Source organism: Homo sapiens, chromosome 2, assembly GCF_000001405.40.
Source record: "Homo sapiens chromosome 2, GRCh38.p14 Primary Assembly".
NCBI lineage: Eukaryota > Metazoa > Chordata > Mammalia > Primates > Hominidae > Homo > Homo sapiens.
Window position 1 is genome coordinate 87145056 of NC_000002.12, and position 16425 is coordinate 87161480.

Here is a 16425-nt window from a genome sequence, read left to right on the forward strand (position 1 = left end):
TTATGAGCATGGCCTCTAGAGCCAGGCATGGCCATGCTGTGCTGGGTGACTGGTTAAATTACTTTACCTCTTGTTGCCTCAGTTGCTTCATCTGTAAAAATAGGCATACTTCATGGGATGGTGCTGTGTATCAAGTGAATTATTTTTACATAGCACTTAGAATACTGCTCAATACATAGTAAAGCTCAGTGCAGTCAGCCATTATTAGTAGTAGAGTTCATTGATTCTAAGATGCAAGTTTTTTCACTTTTTAATATCTCTGAAATCAGATGTGTATTTCAGTGAACAGGTGTCATAGTTTAACTGGCAGTGCTTTCTCTTTCTTAGTTTCTCATGAAATAATGATACATCTTATGAGTGGCATCTTATATTCAGGGGATATAATATTGTTCTCATTATAATTTTGTTACTTGTGCAAAGTTGAAGTGAATTATGTGTAAGATTTCCTCTAAAAAAATTCTATGGGTTGCAACAGACTCTTGGCTTTGAATTTTCCTGATCCCAAATTAATGTGGCGGTCATGTTCCCAGAGAATCTTTAAGACAGCAAAATTTTTCTCTCCAGTTAGCTAGAAAAGCAGTTATGTGTGTCCAGTTAAGGAGGGAGTATGCTTATGAATAGCTTTGTCTGCAGAGAAAATGTTCGTCAGTTGTCAGCCTCTGAAGGGATATTTCTGTGTCTTCAGATATAACTTGTATAAGCGTTTCTTAGTTATAAATGCCTTACTTCCAAAATTTCTGTTAGTTTTTTTTAAGTGGATATATGGAATGTTAAGCTATTTTAACAGAGGAACAAGTTGAAGAGTGGTATATTAATTTCACAGTAGAGCCGACAGAAACCATTTTAACCTTGAACATACCTGATACATAATGGTATTAGTCCTATAAACCTAGCCATCATGTAAGTGAAACCAATCTGTATTTCCCTTGGAGACACCATGAAATCCATTCACCTCTAACATAGGGACCTTGTTTCTTTTCTTGTGTACAGGCCACAGAAATGGTACTTCTGAGGCTGTATTGGCAAAAGGGATGGGAGGAGGATCCCACATGTACTGAGGACAGCTAGACTGAAATTAACACAGTGATAAAAACCCCAAAAGTACTGTATTTTCCTTTGAGAAGGTTAGCATCCATCGGAGTGGAATTTTAAATTTCTTTTGTTTTTTTGAATGCCTAGAGAGAGTCGGCTTGGTTTATAGGCCAGGTGGTTTTCATTCAATGTAAATATGAAACAAAACAGAGGAAATATGTCTCTCCCTAAGAGTGTAATAGGAACAAGAATATTAAAATGAAAATAATCATGTTTGGGTAGTTCACTCACATCTGTGTATGAATTTACTTTGAGACAACTTCATCTTACACAGTACACCTTCTTTTGAAATACTTACAGATGATATTTCAATTGCGCTTTGCTTTAAACATTTTCACATGTTGGTTTTTACTTTAATTACAGATTACTCCAATTGTGTCAGCAAACTATGGCTCTTCCTGTAGGACGAGGAATGTTTACCTTTTTTTCGTACCATCCTGTTCCAACAGAGCCATTGCCTATTCCTAAATTGAATCTGACTGGTATGTTAAATTCTGGGCTCAATGAGAAAGGAAAGTGATTAAGTACATGCATTAAGTGTAGTTCTTTAAATTAGTTAAAACAAAAGAAATGCTCCCTCTATCCCCAGTGATTTTAAATTTTCCTAATAGCTGCTATAGTGGTTATCAAAGCTCAAATACCATGTCAAACTAAACCTTGAGAGAAGCAGAATATAGTTCGTTACTCATTTTTGCTTTTTAATGAGGTGATTTCAAGATATACAAAGTCACTTGGAGAAGTTCAGAAAGATATAATTGATAATGATGAGACTATTGAATTTTAAATAATCTTGAGTATAATATGTAAAAATATTTAGTTTTAAAATGTCTTATGTCATAGTTTAAACAGATGATCATTGTATAAATCAAGAAATGTCCTAAGCAAAAAGAGAAAAAATGGTCACTTGCAGTACTCCCACTCTTCTGCATCACTCCTTTTAACATTTTAATATATATGTTTACTAAGTTTATTTCCACATATTTATAATTTTATATTTGTTTAATTATCAGAAAATTTAAATCTATTTTAGATATTTTTTAAAATTTACAGTGAACATCCTTTTATATCTAGCAAATAAATGTATGTGTTTATAATTATGTGTATGTATTGTATACACGTGTTTTTAATCGATACATTCATTTTTATTTGCTTCAGAGTATTTCATTCAGTGGATATACCATAGTTTATAGAAGCAGCCTGGTATTGTTGGAAATTACAGTTTTTTGGTATTATAAACATTGTTGGGGCGTATTCGTCCTATGTATTTAGGCTAAATGCTTAGAAGTAGAACTCTTAGGACAGCAAGATGAATGGTTTTAAGGAACATGTCAAATTGCCTTTCTGGTTGGTGCAAGTTTTTATTTCTGCTATGTATAACTGTAGTTATAGTCTTGATTACAATGAGTTTTTTAGTGTATGTCCGCCTAATGCTGATTTGAATGTGTTCTAAAGGTGACAATTACATAGTTGAAATTATCATTGAAACTCTATTATAGTATATATGGTTTTGTGAAACCTATACAAAATGTATGTGTAATGTATGTTGTAGTAGTGTATAGTATATGTAGTAGTATATAATGTATAATTTAATATATGATAAATAGTACATAATATATGCAAACATAATTGTACAGTATTTTAAATTGCATACTTTAAAAAATCCAGAGTTCCACTCAGATTTGTGAACAGCTTGTGCTTTGAGCAGCATGCAGGAAATGAGATTGACTAAGTGAAGAACACATTCCCATCTCCATATCATGCTTATTCTGAGCCCTAATCTCACTGAGGGACATAGTGAGCAGAGTTGCTTTTAATATTTAAATTGTCTCAGAGGTAAAGCACCTATGGCAAAATTTTAACAATTATTGATTCTTGATGGAAGGCATGGTATATAGATGTTCATTTTAGTAGTCTTTCCAACTGTTTATATGAAAGATTTCATATAATGAGTGCGGGTTAAAAAGGAAATCTAATGCAAAATTGGCAAATGTTAAAATGTATTCAATCTGGGTGATTTAGCACTCAAGCGATACTTGGGTGGGTTTAAAAAATATATACATGCATCTTTTTTTCTGAATACATTTAATTGAATTTGCATGATTTAAAATGTGTTTATGACATTAATCCAACATTTTATTCTTTTAGTCATTCTGGTAGGCCAAAAAGAAAGGTTATCCTCTTAATTTAGGAAAGAATATTTTCTTAAATAGTTGCTTAACCCACACTGATGTGGCCTGTTGTACTTTTGTATGTTGTTATTCTCATTGAAGAAAATTTACCTTACCCTTTGCATTTTATTTTCTCTCGTGTATAAATATTATGTCTTTTGCATATGATGAATGAAAGTTTCAGAAAGTTCACTCAGTTTTTTCATATTGATATGTCTGCCTTTTTTGAGAAAGTGCAAGTGTAACTTATGAACTTATTACTCATTGTGGTGCTAACACTAGCAGTTGAGTTAGCTTTTAGGTACAAAAAGCATATAGTAAAGACAAATAAGTCTTACTTTGTGCTTTGTGTGTGTATGTGTACATGCTACAAATAAGACACTCTGCATCTACTTAAAATTTATTTTACATAACATCTTAGAACTCTTTAAAAATGGTACTTTTAAAGCTGCAGTGAAATGGATAACTTTATGCAGTAATTAAAATATTTATGTTAATTATTTTATCTGTGACTTAAGACAGTATTCAAAATATATTTAAAAAGATTCAGTGTTTGCTGTGTATAATGTAGATCAAAAAGAAAAGAATCAAGAAAAAATTCGTAGGGAACATATAGCATTGTGAACATATAATTTACATTGTTCTTAAATGGACCATAAAAGTAAATCTAGTGAATGCCCTTTTGAAGTTCACTGGGTGACTCAAGTCTATAAAAGGATGCTTTTTACAAAACTATCTCTAAGCATTTTAAACAATAGCATATAATTAGATATCTATATCTGTATGTATATAGAGAGAGAGAAAAAAAAGAGAGAAGGGGGCATATATAGGTAAGAGCTGTAGCAGATTTATTAAGGTTCTTGTGTCTTTTTTTTTTTTTTTTTTTTTGAGATGCAGTCTCTGTCTGCTGCCCAGGTGGGAGTGCAGTGGCATGATCTTGGCTCACTGCAACCTCTGCCTCCCAGGTTCAAATGATTCTCATGCCTCAGCCTCCCAAGTAGCTGGGATAGGCACGCACCACCAGGCCTGGCTTTTGTCTTTTCTTAAGATGTCATTTTTCCTTAATGTCCAGGGGAAAATATAGGATAGAACATTTGAAATTAACATCAATGTCATCAGATGTTGGGATTTATAACTTGTATAGTTTAACAGTGATGTTAGTCTTCATTTTGGTTTCTAAGCTCTCTACTGTTTGAAAGAAAGATTTCAAAGCAGTGATTATCCCAGTCATCTCTGTATAATGTTAAATTGGTATCAGTTATCTCATTATATAGCCTCATACATTTTAGCAAAAAGGACAATGAACTGTTTAGACAGTGATGGTTTTTCCAGTTCCATTAAGTTTGACTCACATGTACAAAAGTTTTAAGTGGTCATAGAGACCTAACATTCCAGGCATTATGGGGTTAATGGTTTTGAATGTAGAAAATGTAAGTAATCTTAGTCTCAAAGATCTAAATTTAACAATCTTGGTTTTGTGAATTTTTATTCTCTCAGTGTTCTTCGTTTGGCTGGATAGGGCGTGCCCCTCCTCGGAACACAACAGTAGACCTTAATAGTGGAAACATCGATGTGCCTCCCAACATGACAAGCTGGGCCAGCTTTCATAATGGTGTGGCTGCTGGCCTGAAGATAGCTCCTGCCTCCCAGATCGACTCAGCTTGGATTGTTTACAATAAGCCCAAGCATGCTGAGTTAGCCAATGAGTATGCTGGCTTTCTCGTGGCTCTGGGTTTGAATGGGTACCTTACCAAGCTGGCGACTTTCAATATCCATGACTACTTGACCAAGGTGAGACCTGTGCTCCCAGTGCCTGGCTTTGTGCCTTGCCTGGCTATTGTAGTAGCTCCTAATTGCTCTATTTGCTCTTCTTTCTTCATTCTTGTACTTCTAAGTCCATTTGTCTCATAGTACGTGGAATAATCTTTCTAAAGCATAAATCAGAGTATGTCACTTCTCTGGTCAAAGCCATTTAATTAATGATCTCCCATTGCTTTTTTTTTTTTGAGTAAGGCAGGGTAGAATTTAATGAGTGACAGGAAAGCTCTCAACAGCGAGAGGGGACCCGAAGGTGGGTTGCCAGCCACGAGGCTGAGTCTAGAGGTTTTTATGGGCTTGAAATGGGGGAAGTGCATGCTGATTGGTCTGTGGGTATGCTTGAAAAAGCACCATTTAGAAATAGGCACGATAGTGTAGAGGACCAACTGGGGAAGGGCAGGTATATGTAAAGTAGGTGAAGGATAAGGACCAATCAGGAGAGAGCATGCCAAACAGGAATGAGAGCTCTCTAGTCCATGGATTTATCCAGAACTTGTAGCTTGGTTTTCAGGCTTTCGACTGTCCTTGGCTTGAAGGTTGAGTTTCATCTGAGAATTTACCTGCCTCCTACCGCCATCAATCCCCGCTCTGAAGAGGTATATCTAACTGCTGTTCGGATAGGGGTGATGACTGTTCTGCTTCATGCTGACAGAGGGTGTTGTTTTGGGAAACAGCAGTCAGGTCTCTCTTAGAGGCCTATCTAAGTGTCCCCTGGTAAAAGAGAGCCATCAACCGAGGTTCCATTTGCATGACCACTTGGAGTTTGATGGCCTCTAGGCGAGAAAAAACAAATTTTACAAGGAGGTTAAGTACACATGGACCAAATATGAGTATTACAATGAGAACACAAAGAGGAACTAAAAGGGGGAAAATCCATGCCCATATATTAGGGACACCTAGAAAGGACAGGAAGAAAACCTCTGAAAATGGACTGTTCTATTCCAGGATTTTGCAAAATAGGGTTGTCATGGGCATGTCCCCCTAGATTATTAGATATGTTATAATTAGGCATTGCAATGCTTTTAATTAGATTTCTGATCCATAGGCTGCAGAATCCAGTAATGCCTGATAATCCCTTTAGTTAGCTGAGGGTCTTGGGGAGAAGGAAGGAGAAAATGGATCCAATTCTCTCCTCGCCCAGTGTCCTGGTCCCTTCTGACAAGACCAGGCATAGGTACTTCACTGAAGTCTGACGGAGTTGAGCCTTGGACTTTGAAACTTTATGTCCTCTGTCAGTTAGAAAATTAAGAAGAGCCTTATTGCTTTTCTGAGAAATTTCCTCAGTTGGGGCACAGAGTAGAGTGTAATCTACATATTAAGACTAACTTGAGTTTGAAAGAACTCAGAGAGATCTTTTTGAGATTGCCTGCCCAAACAGGTGGGGGCTGTCTTGGAATCCCTGTGGTAACACCATCCAGGTTAGCTGGGTAGTCTGGTTGGAGGGATCCCTGAATGCAAACAAGTTTTGGGAGTTGGGGTATAATGGTATGCAGAAAAAAAGCATCTTTTAATTCCAAGAATGCAAACCATTTAGTTCCTTCAGGTATCTAAGTTAACAAAGTATAGGGATTGGGAACCACTGGGTAAATTGGTTAATTACACCAGTTACTCATTAAGGAGGTGGAGATCCTGGACCAGTCTCCATTCCCTGTTGGGTTTCTTTCTGTACTTCCAATATTAGGATATTACAAGGACTGTCGCAGGGTTTAACAAGGCCCTGCATCCTTAGGTTATTAATGATGGCTTCTAGTTGTTTCCTAGCTTCTGGTTTTAGGGGATATTGTCTTTAATTAGGGAAGGAGATGAGATCCCTGAGATGGATTTGGACTGGTGAGACTGTTGTAGCTCAGCCAGTATTTTCCTGAATTGCCCAAACATCTGGATTAATATCAGTCTCCACCAGAGGGAGGCAAAGAGTCTGTCCTGGAGCCATAAGGATGGTGGTTCCCATGTGAGCTAAAATATCCCTACCTCAGAGGAGTCGGGCTTTCAGGTATGATTAAAAAGGCATAGGTAAACGAAAGGTCTCCCTAGGTACAGCTAAGGGATTGAGAAAAATATCGAGTCAGAGGCTTTCCTGAGACGCCCCTCACAGTTGTGCTAAGGGAGGAGGGGAGGCCCAGAATGGAGAGGAGAACAGGAATGGCTGCTCTGGTGTTGAGTAGGAAGTCTGTCCTCTGAGTCCTTTGACCTCCAGACTCACCCGGGACTCCTGGATGGTAATGCAGCCTGGGCTGTCAGAGCTGGGGAGGAGAGCCCTGGGACCCATCAGTCCTGCTGGACCATTTGAGAAGCCGGCTCTGAACCTTGGGACGTATGTTTCTGGAGGCAGTTTGTCTTCCAGTAGTCTCCCTTACAGATTGGACAGGGCCGTGGGGGCTGCTTCTGATTTCGGGGGCAGACTCTCTTTTAGTGCTCCCACACTGATAACAGTCGGTCATAGAATGAGAAGCTCCCTGGGATCGAGAGGTTTATATGCCTGTATGGCAGCTATTAGTGCCTCTGCCTTTTTCTCGTTCCTTTTCTCCCTTTTTCTTGGGCTTCCTCATGGTCCCGATTATAAAAGACCAAGGTGGTGACTTTCAGGATTTTCTTTAGAGTACTGTCTGGTGCAATAGCTAACTTTTTGCAGCATTCTTCCAATATTTGGGGCTGCTTGGGTTATAAACTTGTCTTTCAAAATTAACTATCCTTTTATAGAGTCAGGAGAGAGATGTGTGTTTAATTAAAGCCTCTCTCAGTTTTTTCCAGGAAAACAGAAGGGTTCTCTTCAGACCCTTGGTTTATGGTTGATAACTTAATGTAATTGAGAGATTTGCCTCTAGTTTTCAGATCTTCCACTGTGCATCCCTAAAAATGTTTTCTCGGCCACTTTCCTAGAGCAGTGTCTGAGTCCCATTGAGGATTATTGGTGGATGCTGCCTGCTTGGCTGTCAGAAAGGGCTCCCTAATTTCTTCCCCCTTTTGGTAGGTGCCATAATAAGATAAACATTTCATCTCCAAATGTCTCAGTGACCTGTAAAGCCGCCTGCTTCTCTGAAGCTCTAAGAGTCTAGTTGAGAAGTAACATGATACCCTTCCATGAAAGCTCAGACATTTGATTAAGGTTCTGAAAGGCTTCAATATACCTATCCAGGTCGACACAATTGTCCTAGATTTCTTTTTATCTGCCTCAAATCTTGTAAAGAAAAGGGGACTTGTACTTTGATAGGACCATATTCACTATGCATTTCCTGTAAAGGAAGAAGTGATGCTGGAGCGCATCCAGGTCGAACTCTTCTAACAGGATGAGGTTCAAAAGGGGGCCTGGATAAGGGGGACGAGATGATCCAAGAGGAGCTGGGACCTGGGCTGGTGCAGGGGCCTCTGTCTCCTCTTCTAAGGAGGCAGACTGTTTTTTCCCTTCTGTCTGGATTAAGTCTGGCTGGATATCACTGCTATAAGTGCAAGGTCTATTATACATTGCTGACAGAGCTTGCGGTTATTCTGCAGGGCAAAAAAGGCCTATACATATGGAATTTTGGACCATTTTCCTTCTCTGTGGTTGAAGAGATCTAGCTATAGGATAGTATTATAGTTGTTATTTTCCCCAGCTGACTAGGTCTCCCCATCTTCCAACTTCTAGCTGGGCCAAGCCTTGCTACTGATAAATACCAGGTATTTTTTCTTCAGAGTCTGAGGATCAAAGGAGTCCCAATGTCTCGCACTTGAGAGGAGTGCAGGCTACCCATTTAGAAAGAGAGAGGGGAGAAAAAGGCATCCTTAGTCTTTCCCTCTGCTGTGCTAGAGTCCAAGGCGTCTCTCAGGCTTGCCTTGGTCGTGGATGTGCGCGCAGCCACCATTCATGACCAGGGGGGGATCAAGCCAGCAGGAGTAGTTGCGTTCACTTGCACTCAGCCTTGACCCTCCTTGTCAACTGCCTTTGATTTCTCTGAATTCTATATGAGCTCAAGACTAAGATGAATCCGGGGGGGTCCCTGCATATTATTTGTCTATAATTCTCATCTGGCTGGCAGTTTATTTAGCTTCATCAAGCATAACCCAGCATCCTGCCCTGAAAAGAAGCAATTTCTCAAAGAGACACATAACTAAGTAACATTTCTCAGAAGAGCAGTAGGAAAAACATGATAGGAAAGATTGGAAGTCTTTGTCCGACACCTGAACAGGCTGTTGGGGACTGGGGGCCGGTGTAGGGTCCTTCGGATGTACCCTTGGCCAGATACCTTTAGTTGCCCCAGGACCTTATTCTGATCCCACACGATGGCTGAACTTCTGTGAAGGGAAACTGGTTTAGAACAAGGCCAAAATTCCCAACACCAGAGGGCAAAGGGGGATCGACCATTGCTCTTAATATACATTCTAGGAGCTGGTGTGATCCTGTTCACTTCTCCAGCCCTAGGTGGTACCACTGTTCTTCGTTTTTTTTTTTTTTTTTTTTTTTTTTTTGATGTGGAGTCTCACCCTGTCACCTAGGCTGGAGTGCAGTGGTGTGATCTCGTCTCACTGCAACCTCTACCTCCCAGGTTCAAGCAATTCTCCTGCCTCAGCCTTCTGAGTAGCTGGGATTACAGGTGCACACTACCACACCTGCGTAATTTTTGTATTTTTGATGGAAACAGGGTTTCACCATGTTGGCCAGGCTGGTCTTGAACTCCTGATCTCAGGTGATCTGCCCGCTTCAGCCTCCCAAAGTGCTGGGATTATAGGCGTGAGCCTCTGCACCCAGCCCCACTCTTCTTGCTCCCCCACACTCTAACCATACAGATTGGCTATTTTAGCTCTCTGGCAAACTAAACTCTTTCACTTCACAGCGTTATTTTTTTTTTAAGGAATCTTTATTTATATAAATATATAAAATTCACATACCATACAATTCACTGTTTAAAGTGTGTGGTACAGTGGTTTTTAGTACATTCACAGAGTTGTGCATCCATCACCACTGTTAATTTTAGAACATCTTTTCACCCCATAAAGGAACCTTGTACCCACTAGTGGTGACTCCCCATTCCTCTACCTCACCCCCCCACCTTCACTTCACTTCCTGCCAACCACTAATCTACTTTCCGTGTCTATGGGTTTGCCTTTTCTGGACCTTTCATATGAACGGAGTCATACAAAATATGGTATTTTAGGATGGGCTTCTTTCACTTAGCCTGATAATTTTAGGGTTCATCCATGTTGTACCATCTATCAGCAATACATTCCTTTTTATTGTTGAATAAATGTTTTATTTTATGAATGTACATTTTATTCATAAGTTGATGAACATTTGGGTTATTTGTACTTTTTAGCTATTACGAATAATACTGCTATGAACATTTGTATACATGTTTTTGTGCGGATGTATGTTTTCATTACTCAAGAGTAATGAAGTAATGGTAAGTAGTGGTACATACTTAGGAGTGGAATTGCTGGGTTATATGGTAACTCTGTTAAACTTTTTGAGGAACTGTAAACTGTTTTCCATAATGACTGCACCATTATACAACCCCATCAGCAATACATGAGAGTTCCAATCTCTCCATATTTTTGCCAACACTTGTTATATTGTGTTGAGTCCAGCCTCATTCTTTTGAATGTGTCCTTCCACTTGTCCCAGCACTGTTTTTTGAAGACTGCCCTTTACCTGTTGAATTGTCTTGGCACCCTTGTGGTCAGTTGATGTTAATGTGAGGGTTCATTTCTGAATCGCCTCAGAGCCATTTATTTACATGCTGTTTTATCACCTGAAACAGTCTTCCTCACCTTCTAAACTTGAGTGTCCTCTTTCCTGCCACTGTTCCTGGCTAATTTGTTTTCATCCTTCAGGTCCTAATATAAATTTCTTTGTATAATCTTTAGAGATTTCATCCCTAATAATCCTCTAGTCCCTCCCAATCTAAATTAAGCTATTTTAAAATACTCTTTCATAATACTTTGTACTTTCTTATTGTACTACTTTTTAATAATATATTTGTTTATGTTTTTTAATTTAACACTTTTTTTCCTATTAAGTCATTAGGTCCATGAGAGCAAGGACCATGTTTGTTTAGTTTACTGCTGTATTCTCAGTGCCTCTCACCTTGCCTGTCAACATAAAAGTACTTCTTGAAAGTGGCAGGCAGTATTTTATTTTAAACTATGTATTTGTTTTGTTTCTATCTTAGGGCCATGAAATGACAAGCATTGGACTGCTACTTGGTGTTTCTGCTGCAAAACTAGGCACCATGGATATGTCTATTACTCGGCTTCTTAGCATTCGCATTCCTGCTCTCTTACCCCCAACGTCCACAGAGCTGGATGTTCCTCACAATGTCCAAGTGGCTGCAGTGGTTGGCATTGGCCTTGTATATCAAGGGACAGCTCACAGACATACTGCAGAAGTCCTGTTGGCTGAGATAGGTATGGGATTAATAGTGCTGAATCTTCATAGGCATGTACTCTCCACTCCACATTAACCCAATTAAATAGTAAAATTATAAAAATTAAGGAAAGACAATGGTAGCTTTTGTGAGCAAAGAATGATCTAGTACTAATTAAAAAAAACAACAAAACTCTAAGTAATGTTATCCAAGGCTAATGTAACTGCAGGTTATTAACCTCCATGTTTATTTGCTAGCTCATTACTGAATTCCAGTGGTCACATTTAATGAGGTACCTGTGGTTTTAATCAGCTATGAGTATGCTGTTTATCCGGCTTTACCAGCAGTGTCTAGCAGTGGCCTGCACTTAAAACTCAGAGTAGATTGTTTTGGTCCCTGAGAGACACTAAACTAAACACATCACAGTGTTTACTGTGTTGGATAACAGCACTTCCAATAGAAGTCAAGTAATGGACTCCTGCTTTCCTCCTTTACATGCTGGTGGGTATGTTGGTGATGAACCTGGAAATGGTAAGGTCCACACACTCACTTTAGTGAACATTGTCTCTGTTTTTTATTGGGTCCAAACTTTTTGGAAATCTTAATGTGTTGTCATCTTTTTCTGCCAAATGGAAATGCTATTGGCATTATTAATATGCTCAACAATTTAGTTACATACTTATATGTCCTATTCAAGATCTTTTCTATATGGATTTGTGAATATATTGTTAAAGATGTATTATTCTTTAGTATCATTGTATCAGATAGCTATTGCCACAGTGATGCTACATACATACAGGCATAGCATTGGCCCAGGCAGCTCTGCTTTAGGCTGTAGATGTGTAGCCGGCTGTTCTGCTGCCGTTCTGCCTCACCTGCCTCATTCTGGGACCCAGGCTGGAGGGTGTGTTTCTCTCGTGGTGTTGATAGAAACCTAGGAGAGAACCAGTGAAGATTGGGACCCATAATTTAGTCTACTATAATGATAAATGAAATTATTCCCAAAGTTGAAATGTTTTGGCTATCACAATACATGGTAGCATAAGTCAGAGATCTGAAAAACGCTTATTCTGAAAATATTCAACACTGGTTGTTAAAGCATGTTCATCTGCAAAGTAGTCTACCCTTCTTTGGCTATATCATGATGATGTCTAATGGTGTCATTGCACAGTCTCACAGCTGCGGCATACCTCTTTCACACTGTATATAGAAGATTTCATCTTTAATTCATATGTATATGCCTTTTTATATAATTACTGTCAGAATGTACATTAAAAAAATTTTTTTTTTTTGAGAGAGTCTTGCTCTGCTGCCCAGCCTGGAGTACAGTGGTGCAATCTTGGCTCATTGCAAGCTCCGCCTCCCGGGTTCACGTCATTCTCCTGCCTCAGCCTTCCGAGTAGCTGGGACTACAGGCGCCCGCCACTACGCCTGGCTAATTATTGTGTATTTTTAGTAGAGACAGGGTTTCATGGTGTTAGCCAGGATAGTCTGGATCTCCTGACCTTGTGATCTGCCTGTCTCAGCCTCCCAAAGTGCTGGGATTGCAGGCATGAACCACTGTGCCCCGCCTAAAAATTGTTTTTATAGATCATTGTTATAAATGGGTTTTAAAACAAATTTTGTGTAATATTCATTGAGTCGATGGTCTGTAAAATGCCTTTTTTTAACTTTTAGAACTTTTTAGATTGTTTCTAATAATCCTTTGTTGTTATATATAAACATTACACTGATTACCTTTGTGTGATTTTTTTCTTTAATTTTTATTATTTATTTATTTATTTAGAGACAGAGTCTCGCTCTGTCACCCAGGCTGGAGTGGAGTGGGGCGATCTCGGTTCACTGCAGCCTCTGCCTCCCAGGTTCAAGCAATTCTCCTGCCTCAGCCTACCAAGTAGCTGGGATTACGGGTGTCTGTCAGCATGCCTGGCTAATTTTTGTAGTTTTAGTAGAGATGGGATTTCTCCATGTCGGACAGGCTGGTCTCGAACTCGTTGACCTCAAGTGATCCTCCTGCCTTGGCCTCCCAAAGTGCTGGGATTACAGGCAAGGGCCAGCACGTCCAGCCTTTTTTCTTTTTTTTTAAATTGCATTTTTTTCCTATAGGGATAAAATTTCAGGAATGTGAACATTTTTTCAGAGGGAAGGGTTTTAATACATAGTACATTTTATCGTTTTCAACAAGGTAGTGTTAGAGTTATAGGGTGCTTTTAAAAGTATGAATTTTGTATCCAGTCAGACTTCTAGGATCAGTACACAGAAATTCTACCATAGTAGGGCTCATTATTATATACACTCGAAATAAATGTCTAAACATAATATTTAACAGCTTAACAACATAAGTAAGTGACCTCCTTATTCATTATCATCATTCGAACATGTTTCACCACATGTGATGTGTGGATTTGAAAGTAATGAAAACAAAATGTAAGATATTTCGTTGTTGTTGTTGCTGAGATGGTGTCTCACTCTGTCACCCAGGCTGGAGTGCAGCGACCTGATTTTGGCTCACTGCAACCTCTGCCTCCCAGGTTCAAGCGATTTTCCTGCCTCAGCCTCCCCAGTAGCTGATATTACAGGCACCTGGCACCCTGGCTAGTTTTTGTATTTTTAGTAGAGACAGGGTTTCACCATGTTGGCCATCTGGTCTCCAACTCCTGACGTCAAGTGATCCACCTGCCTCGGCCTCCCAAAATGCTGGGATTACAGGCATGAGCCAGCACACCCGGCCCAGATGTTTTAACAAAAAAATAAAACTTTTTTTTTGAATACTCTTTCCTTTTTCCCTTTAAAATTTTTTTCTACTACTTGGTAATTTTTTTGGTAAGACTCAAAGTTTCACAGTATTTGAATATCATTGCTTATAAAGACTTAAATTGGCAATTTAAAAAGAACTATTTTGGGCCCTTTTTTTTTGGTAGGTAAACCTACAGTTGTGGACACCATTTATTATAGTGTCATAACTTTCTGAATGGAGTTATATTCCATTCGTATGTCCAGTGCAACTTGCTAGAAAGTTAACTCTAAGATTTTTATGAGATGAGATTTTGAGAAGCTAGTTTGAACTGTGTTGCTTTTGTTTTTACAGGACGGCCTCCTGGTCCTGAAATGGAATACTGCACTGACAGAGAGTCATACTCCTTAGCTGCTGGCTTGGCCCTGGGCATGGTCTGCTTGGGGGTAAGCATAGCCTATGCCTTCCCATGCTTCAGTTAGGACATCTACATGTTGAGACAAATAACGTTGACACCTAAACCTGAATATTGTCCCTTACTATGACTTAATCTGCTGCCCAGCTCTATTGTCTTTTTGGATATTTTTCAAAGTACCAGATTTGCAAATTGAGAGAAACTGTGGTCAAGAGTGGGACTTTAAGATTTCTTTTCCTCCAGCTTGCAGTGTTCATGAACAAACTGAAGGGAATAAAGTTTTTTTTTTTTAAAGCGTTCAAGACATAGAATGAATAAGTGACAGCCCACTATGACTGAAAACAGAGAATAGTGAAAACGTATATGATCGGGAGCCTTAAGAGTCTATAGTAGCTGCTTGAAACAAACCCTAACCCCCTTTTGCCATAGTGATGTTCACTGTGTATCCCAGAATGTTGTCCCAGTAGCATCTTCCTTGTGACAAAATGCAGTATCAGATTGACCCATCTTTAACTCCATCCAAGAGATGTGTACAGAATTACCAGAAATGTTTCATTAAATGATTGTTTCACTTGAAATGTGGTTCCCCTTGAAAAACCACCAATACATTCTTATGGTCAAACTAAATGATATAAAGAAAGTTATAAGGCCGAGGTGATCGGATCACCTGAGATTGGGGGTTCAAGACCAACCTGACCAACATGGAGAAACCCCATCTCTACTAAAAATACAAAATTAGCCAGGTGTGGTGGCGCATGCCTGTAATCCCAGCTACTCGGGAGGCTGAGGCAGGACAATCGCTTGAACCCAGGAGGCGGAGGTTGTGGTGAATCGAGATCACACCATTGCACTCCAGCCTGGGCAACAAGAGTGAGACTCCATCTTAAAAAAAAAAAAAGTTATAGTGGAAGGAATTTTTTTCATGTGTGTTCTGAAAATCCACCTTGTGGTTGACCATCTGTTAGGGCCTTGAATTCACATTGGCACGTGAGCTAAAGAGGCTGGTGGTATAATGGAAAATAATCAGCTGGGTGTGGTGGCTCATGCCTGTAATCCCAGCACTTTGGGAGGCTGAGATGGGCGGATCACGAGGTCAGGAGATCCAGACCATCCTGGCTAACACGGTGAAACCCCGTCTCTACTAAAAATACAAAAAAATTAGCTGGGCATGGTGGTGGGTGCTTGTAGTCCCAGCTACTCAGGATGCTGAGGCAGGAGAATGGTGTGAACCCAGGAGGCGGAGCTTGCAGAGAGTCGAGATCGTGCCACTGCACTCCAGCCTGGGCAAGAAGGCGAGACTCCGTCTCAAAAAAAAAAAAAAAAAAAGAAAAGAATCACACAGGGAATTGCAACTTGAATTCTGGTCCTAACTAGTGAGTCAAGTCATTTAACTACATTATTGTGTATTGCTTAATCAGCTTCATGGATTGTTGAGCCAGATGGCCGTGTTTTATATATAGCCCTGCAACTTAACTATAATAGCTGTATAACCTTGGGCTTAATCCCTCTGTGCCACACTTTCCTTATTTATAAAATAGGGTTTTAATAGTAGCTATTTGATATGGCTGTTCATTCATGTTAAACACACAGAATAGTGCCTGACACAGAGCATGCATTTAATAAATTACTATTATTATCATAGTTATTGTTGGAAAAGTTCTTAAGTACAATAATGACAGTATTCAGGTATTTACAGTTCCAGTTTCAATTATATAACTAATATTTTTCTTTATTGTTAAATGTCACTAACTCTAAAGCTCTTATGTATTTTAAGACAGTACTTAAAGTTGAACATTCATGTATTAAAACTTTTATGAGAATTATTAATATTTATTAACTCATGATTAATGTTTGCTT

At 39.2% G+C, this 16425-nt stretch overlaps 1 pseudogene across 1 annotated transcript in view; it reads left to right on the forward strand.

The window, feature by feature from the left end:
- Positions 1–16425, forward strand: part of LOC102724642 (anaphase-promoting complex subunit 1-like) — a 71644-nt pseudogene that overhangs the window by 19840 nt on the left and 35379 nt on the right. Inside the window, exons 10-13 of the transcript NR_171620.1 lie at positions 1456–1574; positions 4780–5051; positions 11225–11459; positions 14508–14599. The product of NR_171620.1 is annotated as an anaphase-promoting complex subunit 1-like (transcript). The remainder of the gene's footprint in view (positions 1–1455; positions 1575–4779; positions 5052–11224; positions 11460–14507; positions 14600–16425) is intronic.